The sequence below is a fragment of the Homo sapiens genome, chromosome 14, assembly GCF_000001405.40.
Source record: "Homo sapiens chromosome 14, GRCh38.p14 Primary Assembly".
NCBI classification, from domain to species: Eukaryota; Metazoa; Chordata; class Mammalia; order Primates; family Hominidae; genus Homo; species Homo sapiens.
In genome coordinates, this window is record NC_000014.9 from 29,563,838 (window position 1) to 29,587,617 (window position 23,780).

The window sequence follows — 23,780 nt, forward strand, 5'->3', positions numbered from 1 at the left end:
TTTTAAATCATTTAATCTACTTAGGAACACAAGCACAACTTAAAGATATTATTTAAATTCATGGACCCCAAACCAAAATTGTATAGCCTTTTTGTTAATAACAAAATTTAAAAAAATCCACAATTCCTCTTGTCATAGATCTGCGGTACTTATTTTGGGACCAAGAATGAACGGTTCTTTCTGATATTTGAGGCCTTTGATAATCTATCTCTGTTTAACCTGGACAATGTTATTTCCTGAGTCTACTTCTATAGGAACCCAGTATTTCATTAGGACCTTTTCCCCCATGCATGTTAGGTTCATTCTTCCTTCTATATTTTTATTCAACTGATGCTCCTGCTTCTCTGCCTCAATCCAGAGAAGCAAAAACTACTGCAAAAAATCGAGTTTGTTAGAGATTTTATATGAGACCTACATATACGGGTCACACTCAGGTATTTGTCTCTAGCAATCCCTGTTTCTGGGAAGGTAGTGGAATCTAGCAGTCAACCAATACTAGATATTATCTACCTTCAAGTGTGGAGACAAAATTATGAGGAGAAAATAAAAATAATCCATTTGAAGTTCCTTGATAATTGAGATCACTCAGTGTTCAAAACTGAAATAAACCTCAACCTCAGTTCTCTGAGCAAGCCAAGCTCAATATCCCAAAAAGAAAAGACTCAGGCCAAGCATGGTGGCTCACGCCTGTAATCCCAGCACTTTGGGAGGCCAAGGTGGGTGGGTGGCTTGAGCTCAGGAGTTTGAGACCAGCCTGGGCAACACAACAAAACCTGTCTCTACAAAAAATAAAAAAATTAGCTAGGTGAGGTGGTGTGTGCTTGTGGTCCCAGCTACTCAGGGGCCTGAGGTGGGAGAAAAAAAATTGGGGTGTGGTGGGGACAGAGTCTTGCCCTGTCACACAGGTGTGGAGTTCAGTGGTGTGATCATAACCCACTGCAACCTCAAACTCCTGTGACTGAGGGATCCTCCCTCTCAGATTCCTGAATGGCTGGGGTCTACAGGTGCACACCCCAGAACCTGGCAATTTTTATTTTTTTATTATTTTTTGTAGAGACAGGGTTTTGCTTTGTTGCCCAGGCTTGTCTCAAACTCCTGCGCTCAAAGTGATTCTTCTGCCTCAGCTTCTCAAAGTGCTGGGATTACAGATGTGAGCCACCATCCCCACCCAATACATTCTTTAAAACCACGTAAGATGTGAAGATTCTTCCATTCCCAGAAAAAAAATCTTAATTCAATATGTTACTATTTCACTTAAGGTACAGAAATGAATTTACAAAAAATGTTCACCCTTTGCAGCAGGGAGTAGCTCCATATTCACTTAAAGTAGTCCATATTCACTTAAAGAAACTGTCTATTCTCAGAAGTTCCTAAACACAATGTAAGATACAAAAGAGGTCCACATAAGGATATGACATTTCCTTTTTCAAAACAGCATTTATCTTAGAGAATTAGAAAACATAAAGAAAATCGAAAATATTATCCAGCAATCCCACTTTTGGGTATATATCCAGAGGAATTGAAAGTGGTGTTGAAGAGATATCTGCACTCCCATGTTCATTTCAGCATTATTCACAATAACCAAGATATGAAAGCAACATTAGTATTCATCAACAGGTTAATGGACAAATAAAACTCAGTATATATACATGATGAGATACTACACAGCCTGAGAAAAGAAGAAAATTCTGTCATTTATGACAAAATGGATGGACCTGGAGGATATTATAAAAGTGAAATAAGTCAGGCACACGAAGGCAAATATTGTATGATCTTACTTATATGTGAAATCTAAAAAACTCAAAGTCATAGAAACTGAGTAGAAAGGTGGTTACCAGAGGCTGAGGTAGCAAGTAGAGGGATGGGGAAAGTGGAGATGTTGATGAAAGTTTACAAAGTTTCAGTCAGACTACAGGAATATGTTTTAGTGATCTGTTGCATTGCATGGTGACCACAGTTAATTATAATTTGTTGTATATTTCAAAATTGCTAAAAGAATACATTTTTAACATTCTTACCACTAAAAAGAAAGATACGTTGGTGAGTTGATGAATGTGTTAATTACCTTGATTTAATCTTTCTACCATGTACACATAGATAAAAACATCACATTGTTTTCCATAAATATACACAATTATTGCCAATTAAAAATAGATACATTTAATTAAAAGAGTTGATAAAATGTATGCATTATTGATACACTGTTATTTCATTGCAGTTATTGTCATTGCAGTTCTACTCCTGAGTAGAATAAGGCTCAGTGAGTTTAAAGTAGTTTGTCTAATTTCATACAAGTCTCGAAGTTAGGACTTGGACCCATCCAAATTAAACCATGGCTTTCGCAAAAATCTATGAATTAAAACATATGTTAGAAGATACCTTGTTCAGATTCTTGTCTTGATATCAAAATGAGAAATGAATTCAATGAGGTGAAAATTATATCAAAGCCCTGACATTCATATCTATGGTCCAGAAATCCATGGGATACCTGGAGTTTTTATGGACATAGTTCCACATTTTCAGGTATCTTTACAGCACCACCCCACTCCTGGTACCAATTTACTGTATTAGTCTGTTATCACACTGCTAACAAAGACATACCCGAGACTGGGTAACTTATAAAGTAAAGAGGTTTAATTGACTCACAGTTCCACATGGTTGGGGAGGCCTCACAATTATGGCAGAAGGTGAAGGAGGATCAAAGTCATGTTTTACATGGTGGTAGGCAAGAAAGCATGTGCAGGGGAACTCCCCTTTATAAAACCATCAGATCTCATGAGACTTATTTACTATCATGAGAACAACACGAAAAAGTCCTACCTCCATAATTTGATTACCTCCCACCAGGTCTCTCCTATGACATGTGAGAATTATGGGAACTACAACTTAGTTTAAAAGAGAAGCGGAGCATGAAAGTTCAGAGAATTTGCAAATGGAAATTCAAGAAAAGTTTTGGGTGGGGACACAGCCAAACCATATCATTTCACCTCTGACCCCTCCCAAATCTCATGTTCTTAGATTTCAAAACCAATCATGCCTTTCCAACAGTCTCCCAAAGTCTTAACTCATTTCAACATTAACTCAAAAGTACACAGTTCAAAATCTCATCTAAAACAAGGTAAGTTCCTTCCACCTATGATCCTGTAAAATCAAAAGCAAGTTAGTTATGCCTTATATACAATGGGGGTGTAGGCATTGGGTAAATACACCCATTCCAAATGAGAGAAATTGGCCAAAATGAAGGGACTATAGGAACCATGCAGTGGGGCAGACAAATCTTAAAACTCCAAAATGATCTCCTTTGATTCCATGTCTTATGTCCAGGTCATGCTGATGCAAGAGCTGGGTTGCCATGGTCTTGGACATCTCTGCCCCTGTAGTTTGCATGGTACAGTGCCCCCCACCCCCCTCTCCTGGCTGCTTTCATGGGCTGGTGTTGTCTGCAGCTTTTCCTGCACACAGTGCAAACTGTCAGTGAATCTACCATTAAGGGGTCTGGAGGACAGTGGCCCTCTTCTCATAGTTCCACTAGGCAGTACCCCAGTGGAGACTCTGTGTGGGGGCTCTGAACCCATATTTCTCTTCTGCACTGCCCTAGCAGAGGTTCTCCATGAGAGCTCCAACCCTGTAGCAAACTTCTGCCTGGACAAACAGGCATTTCCATACATCCTCTGAAATCTAGGCAGAGGTTCCCAGATTTCAGTTCTTGACTTCTGTGCACCCACAAGCTCAACACCACATGGAAGCTGCCAGGACTTGGGGCTTGCAGCCTCTGAAGCCACGGCCCAAACTATACCTTGGTTCCTTTTAGCCGCAGCTGGAGCAGCTGGGATGCAGGGCACCAAGTCCCAAGGTTGCACAGAGTAGGGGGCCCTGGGCCTGGCCCACAAAACCATTTTTCCTTCTAGGTCTCTAAGCCTGTGATCCCAGGGCTGCCAACAAAGTCTCTGACATGGCCTGGAGGTATTTTCTCCATTGTCTTGGTGATTAATATTTGGCTCCTCATTACTTATGCAAATTTCTACAGCCAGCTTGAATTTCTCCTCAGAAAAATAGCTTTGTCTTTTCTATCACATTGTCAGGCTGCAAATTTTTTGAACTTTTATGCTCTGCTTCCCTTTTAAACGTAAGTTCCAATCTCAAACTGTATCTTTGTGAATACATAAAACTGAATGCTTTTAACAGCACTGAAGTCACATCTTGAATGCTTTGCTGCTTAGAAATTTATTCTGCCAGATTCCCTAAATCATCACTCTCAAGTTCAAAGTTCTGCAGATCTCTAGGATAGGAGCAGAATGCTGCCAGTCTCTTTGCTAAAATGCAGCAAGAGTCACGTTTATTCCACTTCCCAACAAGTTTCTCATCTCACTCTGAGATGGTCAGCATTTGGTCAAAGCCATTCAACAAGTCTCTAGGAAGTTTCAGACTTTTCCCTATCTTCCTGTCTTCTGAGCCCTCAAAACTGTTCCAATCTCTGCCTGTTGCCCACTTCCAAAGTTGCTTCCACATTTTTGGGCATCTTTACAGCAGCTCCCCACTCCCAGTACCAATTTATTGTATTAGTCTGCTCTCATGCTGATAATAAAGACATAGCTGAGACTGGGTAATTCATAAAGAAAAGAGGTTTAATTGGCTCACAGTTCCACATGGCTGGGGAGTCCGCACAATTATGGCAGGTGAAGGAGGAGCAAAGTTACATCTTTTGTGGCAGGCAAGAGAGCATGTGCAGGGGATCTCCCCTTTATAAAACCATCAGATCTCTCGAGACTTATTCAGTATCAGGGAACAGTACAGGAAAGACCTGCCCCCATGATTCATTTACCTCTTACCAGGTCCCTTCCACAACCCATGGGAATTATGGGAGATAAAATTCAAGATAAGATTTTGGTGGGGTCACAGCCAAGCCATATCAGTACTTTATTAATATTTGGACCCCACAGTTTTTGTAACATGAAGACATTTTCATTTATCTTGTAGATAACTGTGAGCAAAGTCTTTGAAAATTTCAAAATACATGAGTACAATGAAGAAAGCAATTTGGAGGAAGATAAATCTGGCTGTGGAGTGTAGAGTGCATTAGAAGAAGAAAAGCCTGAAAGGTTACACTTAGAAGTCTATATAGTACAGCTGATTTGAGGCTAAAATAACAATTGTGATTTTAGATCTGTTGAATTTAAAACATGGTTGGACCTTCAGATAAAAAATGTTCTATCAATTCATAGAGATGAAATTGGATTGTACTTTTGGGAGTGAAGGTAATAGCTGAGTTCATGGGAATAAATCATTTCAGAGGGAAAAATATTAACAGACAAAATAAGAAAACATTAGGAACCACATACAGAGGTAGGTGTGAGGAGTAGATTAGCATTTGTTGAACTGCAATATATGCCAGGATTTTGGCTAAGAAATTTAAATATGTGTCTACTTAGCTATCCCAACTGCACTGGAAAATATATATCATCATAGTCCTACTCCTGAGAAGAATAAGGCTCAGAGACTTTACAGTACTTTGCCTAAGTTCACGCAAGTCTTGGAATAGGACTTGGATCCACACCTGTCCGGCTTCAAAGTTCATGTCCTTTTCATTACCTCACCAAAACAGATGGAGGCAGGACATCAGAGAAGGAAGGCCATAGGGAATATGGGAAGTAACCACATCAGTATTTTCATCTACTATATTGCCAGCACATAAAAAGTGGTTGAAAATATTTGTTGAATGGCTAAATAATAATAAATATTACTTATTGAATCTGTTATCGATGCCATGGGACAAATATTCACTGTTTTAGATTCATTATTCCATTTAATCTCTTAAACACTCTGAAAAAGACATGATAGTACAATGTTTTCATTATCACCCAGAATTCAAGCCAAGTTTTGTCTGTCTACACATTTGGGTTTTTAACCTCTACACTATATTGAGAGAATTGATCAATATTAAGTTAAAGGCCATTGATCATTCTTATGAGAAGAGATTTATTGGTGATAAAAATTAGGATTTTAAATCTGTAGAACAAATTTACGACCTGAGTGTGACACAAATTTACCTATGGAACAAACCATCACATGTATCCCCAAACCCAAAGTAAAACTTAAACAAAAATAGGATTTTATTTTATGGGATATACACACAGAAAGCAAAGAGAAAAAATGTCACAAATTTGGTAGAGAAATAAAATATAGAAAATGTTTGCTAGAAGGATAAAGAAGATCCATGCTGACATATATATATATATATATATATATATATGTGTGTGTGTGTGTGTGTGTGTGTGTGTGTGTGTGTGTCTGTGTGTGTGTGACTGAGCTTGTAGAAAATCAAACAATAATTTGTTGTTAGAAACCAAACACACCAGGAACAACTGGTGACTGTGGTGGTGGAGTCTGTTTCAATGGAGGTAAGAAAGCATAAGGAGAAGAGTCAGTTAGAAGGTTACTCAAATTAAACAAACAAACAAAACAAAAAACAGTTCGTTCACTGAAAGCGCAAGAAAAGTTTAGAGTGAGTTGAAAAATAAACAACTCAAATCAGAAGGACAAAAAAACAAAGGAGCTCACAATGCTGAGGAAATTATGCAGAATAGTTATCCCTGGTGCTACATTTTTGTATATGGAAAAACAATTTGGCAGGTCCTCCTCGAATGGCATGTTGCTGTTAGATGAGATTAGCTCTTAGGGTTTAAAGGTTTATGTGGGCTACATCTACACCCACTCATATTTTATTAAAGAGATAGAGAATGCTTTTACCCATTCGGGTACAGGGAGTCATAATGTTCAGACACTCAGAGCCCACAAGAGGAAGAAATGGATTAAATGTAATTTTTAAATTAGATGTTTTACTCTCAAGAGAATTAACATTTAATGACCTGATAGTTTAGTAGCTCATCATAAGAAATTTGAAAACAAGAGAAAACTTGGAATTCTCTGAAAGTTTCTAACTCATTTTGTATTTTCATTTATAATAGATTATATAAATTTTGTTTAATGTCTTATGAACATTCTTAAATTAGTTTAACATAATCTCTGGGGACTTCTAGAATAGCAACATGAAACCCTCAGCAAATCCTTTCCCAAAGGGCAATGATATAACTGGAAAAGTTGTTGAAACAACAAATTTAGGACTTTAGAAATTGGCCAAGAGCAGACATGAAATTACTAAGCATTTATTTGAGAAAAACTACTAAAACTAAGTAAGAATAATGGGAATCTACGGCCTTTTAGCTTGCTCCCATTATCCCCTATTATCTGCCCTCTGAAAAGGCAGTTCTACTAGAGTGAGGCAGGCTGGGAAAAACAAGGAACCTTGCTAATGGAGGGGGCTGACAATAGCAATGTCGGTTGCAAACAGTCATGGAAGGACAATGTTGCAGCTCTCTTTAAGTTGGAATACTGATGCATGGAAGGCCAGTGTTGCAACTCTGTTAGGTTAGAATACTGATTGGGGCAATGAAAAGACTAGTAGAACAATCAGAAATTTAATAGGAAGATACAGAGAAAGTTTCTACATATCCCTGGTGGCTGAAAGGCTACATGTATTTATAAGGCTCCATACACACTCAGAAGAGACTGAAGAAAGCCTTAGGCATCTACTCTTCCCTGACTGAATGTAAGGCCTTGCACACACACAAAGTAAAAGGAGCTGGGGCAATGTATTAACTGTTTGAACTTAACTCACACTTAGATAAATCAGAAAAGAGTAGAAGCTTTATTGGCTCAAGGTACTTAAACACAATGTCTGAACTATTATTGTTTGACCACTAAGCTCTTCTGTTACAGAGGTGGCTCCTAGGCAGGCAGACTTAAAGTAAAAACAACAACAACAACAAAACATTAAAAAAACAAAACACCCATCAGAGGCATCAGCAGCTGCCTACTATGCGGAAGATAGATTCTAGAGAAATAATTTTGGAAAGTTACTAAACAAACAAATAGCAACAGCAACAGCTACTGGGGGGATGGATCATGATACAGAGTTGTTATGACACATTATTTAAAATATCCAGTTTTCAACAAGGCATGAAAAAGCAACAACAAAATGTGAATGCATACATCACAATTTGGGGATTTCAATGGAAATTGTCTGTGATGAGGTGGAAAGAGAGGGAGAAGACCCAAATGTTGGAGCTAATAGACAGACTTCAGAGCAGCTGTTAAAAATATGCTTTAAAGACTCAGGAGAACACATGTAAAGAATTAAAGGATAGTATAATAACAGTGACTCGGTCAATATAAAACATTTCTTAAAAAAGATAAGTGTATTTCATAATAAAATAGAACCAAAGAAAGAAAGAAAAAATCACCAGAGGTACTTAACAGCAGATTTGTTCTGGTAGAAGGAAGAACCAATGAAGCTGAAGACACATCAATATAGATTAACCAATCTGAAGAACACAAAGTAAAAGAATGAAGAAAAATGAATGGAGCCTCAGAAACCTTTGCCACTCACCAAAGCACTCCAATTTATATGTAATGTGAGTCCCAGACAGATAAGATAAGAAGCGAGAGAAAAGTCTTTGAAGAAATAATGGCCTAATTTTTCTCAAATTGGATGGAAAACTATTTATCTACACATCCAAGAACTGCAACAAACCCAAGTAGGCTAATCGCAAAGAAAAAGCAAACAAACAAACAAACAAACAAAAAACATCTAGACACATCATAGTTAAACTGTTGCAAGACAAAGAGAAAATATTGAAAGCAGTGAGAGAAAAGCAATTAATCACATGTAAGGAAACCACAGTAAGATTAAAGGTGATCTTTCATGAGAGATAATAGAGGGTAAAAGGTGGCAGGATGACATATTTAAAATACTGAGGGAAAAAAATCTGTCAATGAATAATTTTATACCCAGCAAAATTTTACTTCAAAAACTGAGGTGAAATAAAAACATTGCCAGATATACAAAGACTGGGAATTTGTTGCTAGCAGACCTGCCTCAAGGAAACACTAAAGAAAGATATTCAGGAAGAATAAAAATGACACTCAATAAATAATACCTTTAATCTACATGAAAAAGACAAAGAACAATGGAAAAGGTAAGTAAATGTAAAGGAAAAAATATTTTTCTCCTTTCTTCTCTTAACTGATTTAAAGAATAATTGCATAAAACACTATTACAAAATGGTTTCAATACATACAACTGTAATATATATGACAATAATATCACAAAAAAGGGTGGTGGGAATGGAGCTATATTGGAGCAAATTTCGTATATTTCACTGGAATTAAGTTAGGGTTAATTTGAAGTAGCGATAAGTAATATGCATATTATAATCCCTAGAGGAATCATCAATAAAATAACTAAAACAAATAGTAAAAATTCAACAAAGGAATTAAAATATTACACTAAAAATATGTATCTAGCACAAAAGAGGCAGTTAAAGAGGAGCAGGGGAACAAAAAAGACAGGAGACATAGGCCAAACAAATGGCAAAAGGATTAATAGGTATTAACACAGTAGAGGGAGGGGGCAGAGAGAACAATGTTTCAGGCAATGTGGAAAGATCAGAGATGAAAGAGTGTGCAACCTTTTGGCAATTAAAGGAAGCAGACCCTTCTCCATGGGCCTTAATGTGTCTTCAGATGAACTAGTATTTGGTTCCTTAAGATAGGCCTAAGCAAAGGGTATGCAAAATTTAGTTACTTTATGAAGGTCGTCAAAGTGAATATTGATTGGATAATGAATGAAGAGAGCAGGGGACAGATGGCTTTCTTATTTTAATCACTGTACTTATTATATACATTCAGTGAAACGGCTGACCATAGATTTCTCAAAATTGTCTCTATCAGAGTGTGTATTCACTAAACTCAAAGATTATTTCTTCCTTAGGGATAATGGACATATAAAAAGCATCACTGATGAAAACATTTCTCTCAAGGCTGTCCCCTTGCTCAGGCCAAAAGCAAGAACCATGGTAGTTTGCTCTAATGGTTCTGGATACATAGAGACTAGCAATTTTCATAGCATCTTGGGTGAGCTGACAATAATATGGTTGTTTGAAGAAATATTGCCTCTGTGACAATGATAGAGGACACATCTTTCCTCAAATGAGTTTCTGTCACTTCTTTTACTTTTGTCATAATGATAAAAGATACCTTTTCTGCATCAAAAATGCTAATCTGCATCTTGTATTAAATATAAACTACTAACCTGCCCACATTATTTTTTATAATATACCATGGATGTGAAGTCTTGGCAAACTTATTGCTGGTATTTAGCACAGAAGTGGGTGCTGATTTACTAAAATTGGAGTCTTTGCATCTTCACTAATATTGCTGGTGGCGGAAAGTGGCATGACTCTTAGTGGCCCACTTTTTTCCTTGACATTGGCAGTTGTTTTCTCACCCCTTTGCTTGATGACACTGCAGTATAGGCTGTGTCAGTATCATTGCCACGCAGAAATTCTTTAGACATAGCTACTCTGAATGCAGCAGGAAAGGGCTGTTCACTACAAACTGCTGAAATAGTTGCTAAGGGTGCCCCCAAAAGGCTAAATCCATGATCTTGCCATAACATGTTCTGCTGTTACCTACTTAATCCTTGAAATTATTTCTTCTCTTGATTTCTGTAATATTACTCCATTTGATTCTACCTCTGAAAATTACTTTTCAATTTTCCTCATATTCTGACGGATCCTTCCAAATCAATACTTCTCAGGTTTGTGCCCTAAGACCACTTTCCTTTCATTATATTTATTTTCCCCCAGGGATGAGTCATTCCCCATTAACATATTGTGGGATGTTGACTTTCAAATCTCTATCTTCAATTCCAGATTTCTTTCCTAAACCCCAGACTCATAGCTAACTACTTTTAGAACATTTCAAACTTGGGTGTCCTACAGGAACTTCATATACAAATGTTAAAATGTGAACTCACTCTACATCTCTAACTTCTTCTGATTAATCCTTCCTTTCAGCTTAAACAATGTTGGTTTCCTGGGATTTACACAGAATAAATCCCGAATACCCAGAATAACACACAAGGGCCTCCAGACCAAGATCATCACCCATTTCTACTGGATGGACTTCTTCAGTTCTTCCTTACTTTTATTCTTCTGTTATAAAGAAGTACTTTTGTCTTTCTAACAGTCCTCTTTGGACCTTCATGTCTTCGTTCATGCTGTTTTCTCCTACTTTCAGCCAGGTATATTCCTATGATTTTTTCTAGCTCTGCTCAAACATCATTCTGTTGCTTTCTTTCTCCATTATTAACTGTTCTCCTTGATGCTTTATACCTTTACATCTTATTTTCTAAAAGCACCAAATTTGTTTATTCACTTCTATATAATAAATTTATTTTGTGCAGGGACCATGTCTTATTCACATTACAAAATCTTAGAATCTAGCAAAGAGCTGTGTAGAACAGATGTGAAATAATTTTTTGCTGCATGGATAATCAACTTCTGTGTGGTTTTATAATGTACAGTAATATTTGGTTACTCTTGCCAATCAAGGACTCTAGGATATTTTATACTATATGGATAATATTATCATAGTTTCTTTTCCTATAATCTTTTTAGAATCCCATATCAAGCAAGAAAAGTTATTGATTACATTTTATACTGCAGCTGATAAAACATAGGCATATAAACTATATAAATTATCATAATTCAAACAATAAGCCTCTAATTTATATTACGCACATATTAAGAGGGAAAAACTTTATATGCTTCCACTCCTTTTCCATTTTCCTGAAATTGCTTAGAAAAGGTATCATAGAAAAGGTGTCAGTTATATTCCTAGGTTGGCGAGAGAGTTATTGTCTTACTGATTTACATTCTATTCTTTCAAGTTGGTGGTACATGTATGCTTGTGTATGCAAATTCACTTGTGCATGCATGAGCACACGCACACACACACACCCTACCCCTAGAGAAAAGCAGATGAAGGAACTTTAAAATTTTTATACTTGTTAAAGTTCAATAGTAATACAAAACAGAGACTAATAATTGGAAAGATTATCTATTGTCCCCTCATTCCTCCAAGTGGAAAGAGTACAGTCTTAACATACTTATCTAATATACTCAAGTGTTCCACAACTCTTGTAACATTCTTCCAAACATTAATTACAATTTTTTTTCTGTTACATAGTATGCTATTCCCATCCTGCTACTAAGGAAAACAGCCCACATTATTCATATTATATACCTCAAATCTGCTAGGTCCAATTTGTCTTCTCCAGGCTGTAGAACTTCACTTGAGATGCCTTTCTGTTTAGGGATTACTTTCTAGTATTTTTTGGTTCACCTCAGAACCATCTTTAGATCATATGAAAAGAAACCAGATCTGGTATTCTAATAAATCTCTAGCTTATATTGACTAAATCAGGAAGCTACATTAAGATGCTATTTGCAATATTCCAACTACTCAGAGTCATCCTAACTATGCCTCCAAGCACTCTGTTTGGCTTTGGTCACTTTTCACTTTGAAAGCCTTCCTTTCTATTAGAAATTAAACCACATGCAAGACAGGAAGGCCTCACTCCACTTTGAAACATACTTTTACTGCTTCAGAGTAGATAAAACTACATTCTACACTATGAGCTTTTTTCCTGCTTTTTGAGCAGACACTTCTGCTCCTAGTTGGCCTGAAAACCCTAGTGTGAACGATGAATGAAAATAGTTCAATGAGGTGGACACATATTTTGACAAGAATATTTTTTATTATTGAAAAATACACAAAGGTGAAAGGTTGCTGAGCAGCTGATTTTCCATAGTACAACAGAGTATTATAAGAAAGAGGGAAATGTATCTGTTATATATGGCAGTTTACATTTCTAAGGCATTTAGGCTTAAGAGCACTAGGTCTTGCACAGCTAGGTGCATTGTCTTGAGTTTAAATATACTGAGGCACACCAGGCAGGCAAAGGATTCAAAACTATACATTAAAACTTGTTCATGCATTTGTGTCTTAGGATTTTATTCCCTACCCTCCTCATTCATTTTTTTCCCACATGGGTTTTGGAGTTGTTCATAGAACACTGGAAATAATCGACTCTTCAAGAGTTTGTTTACAATGACAACACCAATGGGACACACCAAACAGAACTACTTCACAGATACATTCTGTCTCTTACCAAAATGAAGCTCCAGTAAGAAAAACACTGATTTGCAAAGGCACAGTGGAGACAGGTTTAATGCATTAAATATAACATGAATCATTCACAATAACAAGTTTCGTGTTTCAGGGAACTTTTGTTAATACAACACAGTTGGTCACACAAAATACAAATGCTTCTGTTGATTTGTCTTGGCAACTCAGATACATCAACAGTGCTAACAGTTTAACAGCTTTGTTCTCATCTGACAGAAAATAATGGCAGTTCTGCAAGGCAAATGTTAAACCTGACCGTATGTATTTATTAGTTCCACAGTGTTTTGACAGATTATAGGAGATGGAACTCAGAGGATGCTGACACGCTCACCGAGGGCTTTCATTTCTGTTTCTTCAGTCTCAGGAGTGTCACTGTGGCTAGCACTTGGATTGATCAGGTGTGTGGGGTACTGCAGCCCCTGCTCGCCTGCATACTTCTCCCACCTCAGGTCATCACTTTCATGGGTGATGTAGCGCTCCCCGATTTTGCATTCCAGCTCTCGCAAATCTAACCAGGTCTGATAGTCCTGAAGAAGAAATTCCAAAATATTACCATAGAGATCATTACAACTCAACATACTGTTTCATATGATGTCAGTTTCTGCAATCTATGAGTTACCCTTCTCCTTCCACTCTAACAGCGCTGAATCTTTCATCACGCATCCTCAAGTGACAGTGTCGGCACCAAAGCCATCCTATTTGTCTAACCTTTGCAAATACATACTGTTTATAAGATAGCATGGATCAAAGAGTGGGCAATTAATGTTTGCAGTCAAGCAATCAGGAATGCCAGTATTCCTTTGAAATTTAATGCCTACAAATAATCTTTCAGTATTTCAGAGTATTAGTTTCCTAAAGTTTAAATTCGATGTGAAAATAATAAAGCACATCCATATACTTTGTATTTGCCATGCATTTGTTCCATATATAATAACCTAGCATTTAAAAATATAGCTTCTAAATGAGTACAGTGCATGACCAGATGGGCATCTATTTGTACATTTATCAGGATTACACATACAGATGCTTTTGAAATCTGGTCCTCTGAGGTCTGTTATGATCCTTGGTTTATTTATTTATTTTTGGTTTTGCCTTTTGGTTTTGGGCTGTGTGTGTGTGTGTATATGCGTGCGTGTATCTCTTCTATCAAATTATCCTGGTAGAGAAAAATGTTTAGAAACACTAAATTGTTATTAAATCCTATGAAGTTGCATGCATTTGAGCAAATAAATTGATATTAGAATAATCACACTTTAAAAATTATTGCAAAAGATTTCTAAATATCAAAATCCTATAAATATTTAGAAGCTCATTCAACTAAGAAAACTCAGTGATTATTGTTTACCTGTAGCCAAGGGTGGCTCAAGGTCTTATCCACACTGTAGCGCTTTCTCATTTTTACTTGCAGCAAATTGTTGATAAGATCAATGGCTGAAAAAAATTACCAGTAAAAATAGATGACAAATCTGTAACATATGCATAATTCATTTATAGTTTATTTCACATCTGCTATTTCACACAGTTAAATGCAGCATAGTGACAAGGCACTAGAACCAAAAAAAAAAATCCTCTTAAGAATACTGAAACTTTGGCCTTCATTTTATTTTGGATACTAAAAAAAAAAAAAAAAAAAAAAAAAAAAGAAGAAGTTGGAAGTAATTATGGAAGAAGTATTAGAGTCTATTGTATGATATGAATTTCAATTGGTCTACTCTTTAACACTTTCTTTAATTTAGAAATTTTGTTTATATGTACATCATTTAAATATGTCTTACAATATGGGCAGGATAAAACTAATATTCAAGATAAAGCATTTACTAATTTTGTTATAAAACATGCTGAACGTTTGAATACACACAATGGTTCACACAGTATTGAATTAAATGACAGATATCTGAACATCATATTTGTATGGAAAAAATGCATCATAACATGGGTCATATCTCATGATAAACTTGGAGCCTGAAAACCAACAGCCCAAGAAGAAAACACTTTAATTGCTTTCACTTTGCTTTTGCTTTCAAAAATAACCAATGTATTGGAATTATATCAGCCTTCATAGACTTTCTAGAGGAAGACAGGAAAGAAGTCTATTTAACAAGAAATGTTCTCTGAGGGGTTAGAACCACAATCCCTCTGGCCTAGTACTCTGCTTGTGACTGGGGAGTCTGTGAGTGTAATTTATGAAGAAAAAGTAATACTCATCGTTATCTAGTCTGAAAATCATCCTAGTTACCCACAGTATCATGTGATGGAGTTCTCACTCTCCTTTTCTGGACATTATATTTTCAGTATACGTCATTAATAGTTCATTATTTATTAAAGTCATTCCCTCACACTTCTCATTCTTGTAATAACTTCCATGTTTCTCTTTTTGAATTTTAGCATTTTCTTCCCAAAAAGAGCTTAGTGAAATCTGCCAACCTAATAGGAAGCATTTATATTTCAAAGAGTTAATTTTTGCCCTTAACCTACCCTAGGCATTATGTCTGAAAGATGGCTCTTCCTACCAAAAATCTTAATCAAACAGGCAGCTGATAAACGAAAATGAAAATTAACTCCTCATCTTTCCCTATCACCAAGTCTTGAATAGGCAGCTTTGAATCCACTTTTTGGTGTGCATCAACCTGTATGGACCTGAAGATACAGACTGTCACATGAGACCAGAGGAACAAAGACTGCTTCCTTCAATCAGAATCCTTCCCAGTGTCAGGCAAAGAAAAGTGACTTCTACAGTCTTTTGGTAATTGAGAACCATATCTCTATGGAGCTAATGTTACAAGTATTTGCCTGCCCTGAAGGGCTGTAGAGTCAAATATCAAACAATTATTTGGAGAAATGAAATGCAACAACACACATTTAAATGTTGCCTATGCCTATACACTCTTGCCTTACCTAGGATACCTGAAGAAATACAGTACTCAGTACATTTTCATATTCCAAGCATGTGTTCTCAGAGAGCTTTTAAAAGTATAGTTCTGTGAACTGCGTATAGGGCATGTGCTTTAAAATATCCATTCACATGATTTACTCACTGGTGAGTAAAGTGCACCTTCCATTCTTGCTGCTGTGAAGTCACCCGGCAAAAATGGAGGACAAGGAGTGAAGGGAGAGCTTATGTGCTATTGCAAGCTTGCTGCAGCATTACACTGCCCTAGACACTGCAGGAAATAAATTCATGTCATTAATTCACTCATTCTGTTTGGAATTCTGTAATTAGAAAGGCAGGAGTACAGTAACTCAACAAAAGGTCTCGTTTGTGCCCAAATGGGCCCCAACAGTGAACCACACTGCATAATGGGGAGGGAAGTACTATCAGAGGGGAAACTAGAAGTGTCTGAAGGGAATGGAATAAGTAAAAATGAAAAAATTGTTCTGCTGAATGAAGCATACAATCATTAGTCTGACTACGCCACAGTACCCAACCCAAGTGACCTGAGTAAGCACAACAAGGCAATGGCAACTACTTCCAAGAGAAAATGGTTAAGGATATAAGGAGAGAATTAGAGGAGAAACGTGTATGTATAAATAAATGTGTGTGTGTGTGTATACATACATTTTGTGGCTTTTGGAAGCACACAACAGAAATAATGAACTATTAAATGTTAGCACCTATAGCTAAATGTTGGGACCACGGTATTAGTGAGAAAATAGGTCCGTCATTTGTAGTTGAGAATTCTGTTCTGCTTGTTACTTTTCTGGAACTCTTAAAATATCCTTTTTATTAATCAAGTTGTATACAATCCAGCATTAACTATACCATCCAAAATGCGTTTTACTAAACATTTTTGAACACAGTTTAGAGGCTTTTTTCCTTCCAATATTCTCTTTACTGGCCATGTCTACATTGATACAATATTCATGTAATAAAATAGTCTCAGATGTATTATGTATGTATAAATCATTCATTTATCTGTTCATTCACCAAATCTTCCTTAATTCCTGTTGGCAATTACTTATGAAATAAAAAGTTAATGATCAAGCCCTGACCCCGAAAAGCTCACAATCTAGTTGCAAAGGCACATGCATGCCCCTCCCCAGACCACAGATGACATCATGACACAATACACCATTCTGAATCTTTGACCTTTAATTCATATCCTACTCAAAGCAAAAAAAAAAAAGTGTTTTCTTTTTATAACTTACTGTCATTAGTCCTATTTATGTTTTAGATGCAATGGAAAACTTTATTCTATATGACAGTTCTTTACATCTTTGGAGACAGTGATTCATTCCCCTTAATCTCACCTCTATAGTTCCTTCAGATCTTTCAGCCTGCTTAGTCCTCCTGTACACCTCGATTTTAATAGTCACTAGCTCTACTCAATGTCCCTGTTAAAATTCAGTGATCATCACTGACCAACATTTTCCTCACTAACTGCCAATTTGAATTATACGCAAATATATTATTCATATAGTCTAGGATTGAGGGGTTTTCATTCTTTTTTAAAAAATTACATTCATATTCTTATTTAGTCCTTATAACAACCCCCTGAAAGTAGTTATTATTTTAATCTCCATTTTAATAAAAGGAAAACGTGACGCTTCAAAAGGCCATGTAAGTTGGTCAAAGTCAGACAGCTCCTAGGCAATACAGCTGAATTTGAAACCCAGGGGGACTGGAATTCAAAGCCTGTGCTCTTAAACACTATGGCAGACTGCAGCCATATTATGCCATTAACTTATCATTGTAAGTGGATAATTATCTCAAAAATTAACATTTTATTTTTACAGTCATGATAATTACATTCTTAGTTATGTTTCCACCACACTTTTATGTGCTTGAACGCAAGGATGTGTGTGTATGTGTATGTACATCTCTGTGACCATAGCTCTGCCTCATATCGTTAATTCTCCTAGCTTTCTGTCATGCTCACACCGAATAAGCCCATCTGCTATGTATTAATACAATTATTAGAACTTTTTTCAGGATAAGGCCTAAACATAGGGCTTTCTGACTCTATCACAAAACACATTACCAACTGCCAGGCCTATTAATTATTCTTTGAGCAAGTCTTAAAAGCAGGCAGTGCTTCCTCCTAGAAGTATTCCTATGTAGCTCATATTTACCATCTTCTCCAAAGGCTATTTTAGGCTATTTTTTTTTTCAAATGCTTTATCATTGAGACACATCAGTTCTTGGTAAGACTCATTCTACCAATCTGGTAATCCTACTTAAAAAAAAGTGCAGTTATTCTGGAATAATACATTTTAAGTAAATTAACATTGACAAATACTGACTTTCAGTCATTTTCTTCTCAGGGCCAAGATTTGTTTTCTAAATATTTGCAAATCATCTATTTAATCATTCATTCATTCTAGAATTTTGTCAAGGATAAATACTGAGCTTCTTGTTGAATAATTTGAGAATCCATTCTTTCCCCCTTTTAGAAATTCTACTTGTCTTAAATACCTTGGTATCTCTCTCATTTTATCGAGCTTCTTGTTGAATAATTTCAGAATCCATTCTTTCCCCCTTTTAGAAGTTCTACTTGTCTTAAATACCTTGGTATCTCTCTCATTTTATCTATGATTTATTAAAAATTACCACGGCTCTAAAAGCACATCTGTTAGTTTCTTCAATATGTAGTGTGTCCAGCTCTGAACATTTACCCATCTCATAGCTGCTATTGAGTGCACTTTTGTGATACTTCCATTTCCCATAGGTGCCAGCTCCCAGCAGAGACTGCCATGTGTAATTTATCAAGCATAAAGACACTAAGACAAGGGAAAGGGGAAGCCAGTTGTAAAGGAACAGCCAGTCTAGTAAAGCTGGGGAAGTCACAGCAGTCCCAGAAGAGAGCCAACAATGAGGGAAAAAAGAGCCCAACTGGGGTCTGGAGTCCAGTTCCAAAACTAACATCAAAATTCAGAATTTAGATCTAGAGTGAATGTGGCAGGACATGCCTTTGGAACTGCAGGAGAGTAGTGGAGAGGGACAATGTGGGAGACATACAAAATTGGGCCATTCTATGAATTCCTCTCAAAAACAAAGTAAAGGAGAAAGGGAACATGGTCTGGCTGTGGGAAGGAAGAAAGTAAGGAGTGGAGCAGAATGAAATGTCATAATCTGGCACAGCTGCAGATTAGGATGCTCGTGCCCCAGTGGGGAAGTGTAGAGGAATGCCGAAACTCCAGTTTACCTGCAGCTCCACAAGGAGCTGGGGCCCTCAGAAATCTGGAGCCCTGTGCAAAAGAGATACTTCGGGAAGAATGCCTCAGACATTCTTGGTACCCTGTACCTCCTTCTATAAAAACAGCAAAAGGACTATATCCAAATACCTAGATTTCTTGGGGTAAGATATATTGGAACATAGTGCGGTCTTTCAGTGGTTTCAGGCAATAAACAGATGCCGTTTAAATAGCAGAGATGGAACAAGGGCCAAAGCAGTAGGGGAAATGAGAATCCTTTATTCTCTTGGGTTCCCTGTACCCTCTTCGCCTGCTATTTTCTCAGTTTGAATACCCCCACCTCACACCACTTTGTTCCTGAAGGACACAGGAGTAAAACAGGCAGTGGCTAGTTCCTCCTTCTTTTTGCAGTAAACATGACACCAACCTTTTCGAAAAGTGGTATGATTATTTTCTGATTATACCTCCTCATTTATTCTGGGGGGTGAGTCTTTCTAACATTATTCTGAGAATTTTATTATCTTTATTCATGCTTAAGCTCAATCCTCTCCTTTCATCTTTTTAATACCTTGTCTTAAATCTAAAGTTTCTTAAATAGCCACAACCGGGCATGTGGGAAGTCTTTTTTTTCTCTTCTTATGGAAAAATTTTAAACAATTGTATGGTGTACATTTCCATTTTAAAATTTTCTCCTCATGAGCAGAGTTTTGTGCTTTATAAAATGTCTCTAGCCATGGATTCACAATAATGTTCCCTACAAATTATAAAAAAAATTTATTTTTTGAAATCTAATGTTTCTTTTGCTACAATAAATTTTTGGCTAACACAGTTACTCTCCTTCTAACTTCCTGTACAGCATTTTTTCTCCTTGCCCTATCAGTTTAGAGACAAAAAAAGTCAGGAAAGCAAAGAGAAAATTTTATCAAACATTCTCTTTTAGCAGAATGGGACTTTCAGCAGCTATTAGGATAGCCGAAGTTCTGTGCAGCCTATTTGCTAGGTGCACAAGGATACCTGAACAAAGACAAAATTAAATGGTATATGCGGGTGCAGAGGGCTTTATGTTCTAATATGAAAAGAAGCATTCCATCAGAATATGATATAGATTCCATTTTTTCTAACAATAACAACAAAATACAGAATTATATTTGAAGTTGCACAAACTATACTGCAGTCATTCTCCATTTTAAAGCAAATACCAAGTGTGTAGATACAAAAGGTGTTTTGTATGCAGAAGGTAGATTTACAGGTGTCATTGTTGTGGCTAAACTGAAAGGCATCCAAAGCTTGCAGAAAACTCTAAGAAAAGACTGTAACTGGACATATTTAAATTCTTAATAGGTTCCCCAGGTCACACCTTTCAATCATGTTCCATTTCCCATTTTATTTCCTTTTATTATTTCAATACATGCCTATCTCCCCACACTCTCATCATTAGATTTTAGCTCCTTTAAGGTCACACAGATTGGGTATTCATTTTTTTTCGCACATAAGTTTTATAAATATTTAAAGTAAAATATATTTAAACTATAATGCATTAGAAAAATGCTTGCTAAGTAGCATTTGGCAGACTGAATACATTAAATAGAAATGTAAATCGCCATTTTCTTAGCTCTAAGTTTCAATACCCATATTGTATGCATATGGTTTGTATATTTTGGCTAAAAATATTTCTGGATGGTAGGGCATCACAACTCTACAAAATATAACAGATCGTAAGATCAGTGACTTCTTTTAGAAAATCAGTGTGATGCTGAGTGTAACTGCCATGCAGATTATGTTTATTTTACAATGTGTATTTTTTCAGGCGGGAAATCACCTGTGAAACCTCAAGGCTGATCTCTTTTGTCAAGACACAGTACATTTTCCCCCGACTTCTCTCCACCCCAAATTATTCAGGTATCTTTTCAAAATAGAAACCAGATAGAACAATCATTCTGGTGATAGAGCCTTCGCCAATCAACCTTCAAGCTCCTTGCCTTCAGGCAAGTGTTTTCTCTTTTTTTTTTCCCTTTCAATTCTGCCTCACCACCTGTCACAGTGTAGTGCTTAGTACTTCTCTCCCTTTGGCTTGCTTCATGCTGATGGGAAGTTGTGTGTTTATTTTAAAAATCGTTTTGCAACCCTTCACATTCCAGCTCTCAACCCAGCATGCTGTTGCTCAGCAACACTAACTGGGACGCTCCTCTCAGGGACTGAAACCAGAGGCTGCCGGCTGCAAACAAGGCCACTGGAAATCATCGTCTCACTCACTCCGGAGTCAATTACTGGAATCCAATGAAGTGCAAGACCTTTAGAGACTCGAGTCGGCATCTTTCCTTTTCAGTTCTTTCCTCTGTAGAAAGTTATTCTATCAATGGTTACTCCTTTGCTTTTCATCCAATTTCATTTCCTCCTGAAAACTGGGGATATGATCTTGGAAATCATAAATTGTTTAAACACACCCATACAGCAGCCTCCAAACTGAAGCCCAATTGATTCAAAATTTAAAGAAGAAATCAAAATATATTTATATTATTCTGATCATGTTCATACTGGACTTGGTTTCATTTTAATGAACTAGGCATATGGTTTGTATATTTTGGCTAAAAATATTTCTGGATGGTAGAGCATCACAACCTTACAAAATATAACAGATCATAAGATCAGTGACTTCTTTTAGAAAATCAGAATGATGCTGAGAGTAACTGCCATGCAGATTATGTTTATTTTACAATGTTCGTTTTAATGGACTACACACTAAAATCCTTTGGGAAGTTTTATTTTTAAATATTGATACTCAAACCAAAGGTCAAGTGAAAATCCTTAGGAGAGGATATTGATATTTGTATCAATATTTGCAGAAGTGCCTCAAGTCTGTGCAGCTACAGTTGAGCATGACTGTGCTAAGTAGTGCTTCTCTTTTACATACATATGAAAAATAGTTAAGAGATCTTAAACTGAAGATTCTGATTTGGTAGTTCTGAGGTGGGGCCTGATAGTCTGTATTTTAATGGCTGCTAGGCAATCCAATATTGCTGGACTTTAAACCACATTTTGAGTAGCAAGGAGCTAGAGGTATGAGAACATTGATAGTGGTTAAAAACTGGCTTAATATTGCCCAAAGGGTCCTTGAATAGATGGACATAAATATACAGAAAGGTATCTAATCATAGAGGTATCTGTCCTCAGCTCCATCTTGTTCAGTATCTGGAATGCAGAGATAGAAGGGTTTAAGGATAATTTCTGCTCAGAAGTTGCCAACAGGAAGAGCAAACAAATTGGATTACACAAATAATTTCCCAAATAACTACAGACTGGAGCAATGGGCCATGCTGGTAAAATAACTTAAAGGAGACAATTGAAACTATGTCCTCTATTTAGGTCCTTCTCTCTCAACCTCCTCAAAAGGACTAAGTACAGAATTGGAAAATCTGGCTTATCAACAATATATGTAAGAATGAAATCTGGGTTTTAAATCCACAGTAAACTCAGTATGATCGTATTTCTTATCCCCAAATCAAATATTATTTTATGTTGTGCTAACAGAAATGTGTACTTTGTAATGAGGGAAGTAGTCGTTTCACTTTACTCTCTCCTTTTTTTGTTTGTTTTTTTGAGACGGAGTTTTGCTCTTGTTGCCCAGGCTGGAGTGCAATGGCGTGATCTTGGCTCACCGCAATCTCTGCCTCCAGGGTTCAAGCAATTCTCCTGCCTCAGCCTCCTGAGTAGCTGGGATTACAGGCACCACACCTGGTATTTTTAGTAGAGATGGGGTTTCTCCATGTTGGTCAGGCTGGTCTCAAACTCCCTACCTCACATGATCTGCCCACCCTGGCCTCCCAAAGTGCTGGGATTACAGGTGTGAGCCACCGTGCCCAGCCCACTTTACTCTTAATTAGACTCATTGACCCTTAAGTCAGATCAGTCCTGAGGGTTGACTATAAGATAACGTAGATAAAGCAGAGAGTGCTTGTGCCACAGTGAACAGGAGGGTGAAGAAAAAACTGACTTGTGCAGGAGAAGAGAAGGCTGGGGGAGACGTGATGATGGCTTTCAAACCTCTGAGATGAGTCTTTATTTGGAAAGGGATTGGGTTTGTTCTATCAGTGTGTATAAATACATGAACATTTTTGTTCACTGTTTTGGGGTCAAATTAAAAAGAAACTGGGCTGCTCATGAAATTGTGTATTTTCCATTACTAGAACAATTTGGTAATATTCTAGATAATTACTCAGTGGATTGGCACTTGGGAGCCGTACAGGGGTTAGATAAGATTTTTAACATCCTGTATTTTGAAGTATTATTCTTTGTTGTTATGGAAGAAAGCAAACTTACAGAATATTTTTGTTGATCCTCTATTCAGACATCTCCACACATAACTCAGGTGTTATATATTTCAACTAAACTATGATGTACATTCAGAAGTGAAACTAACTTTGTAACTGAAATATACAGGAAATATTTCTATTTTGAATGGCAAATAAACAGCCAATTTTGAGCATTTACAATGCCAATGTGCTTGCTAAAACCTCTGAGCAGCTTCTCTCTATAAATATCATTTGTTAGAGAAAATC

The 23,780-nt window shown here is 36.8% G+C and overlaps 1 protein-coding gene across 7 annotated transcripts in view; it reads right to left on the reverse strand.

Annotated features, from left to right (window-relative positions):
* The window catches only part of PRKD1 (protein kinase D1), a 351,369-nt gene continuing 340,230 nt past the window's right edge, over positions 12,642-23,780 (reverse strand). For 6 of the 7 annotated variants that reach the window (NM_002742.3, NM_001330069.2, NM_001348390.1 and 3 more), the window contains 2 exons: positions 14,438-14,523; positions 12,642-13,619 (listed from right to left, as the gene is read on the reverse strand). In NM_002742.3, coding sequence (NP_002733.2) covers positions 13,401-13,619; positions 14,438-14,523 — 305 coding nt within the window. In that variant the 3' untranslated portion in view covers positions 12,642-13,400. Of the gene's footprint in view, positions 13,620-14,437; positions 14,524-16,127; positions 16,254-23,780 lie in introns of those variants that run through there. The other variant, XR_943493.3, reaches the window with a different exon arrangement.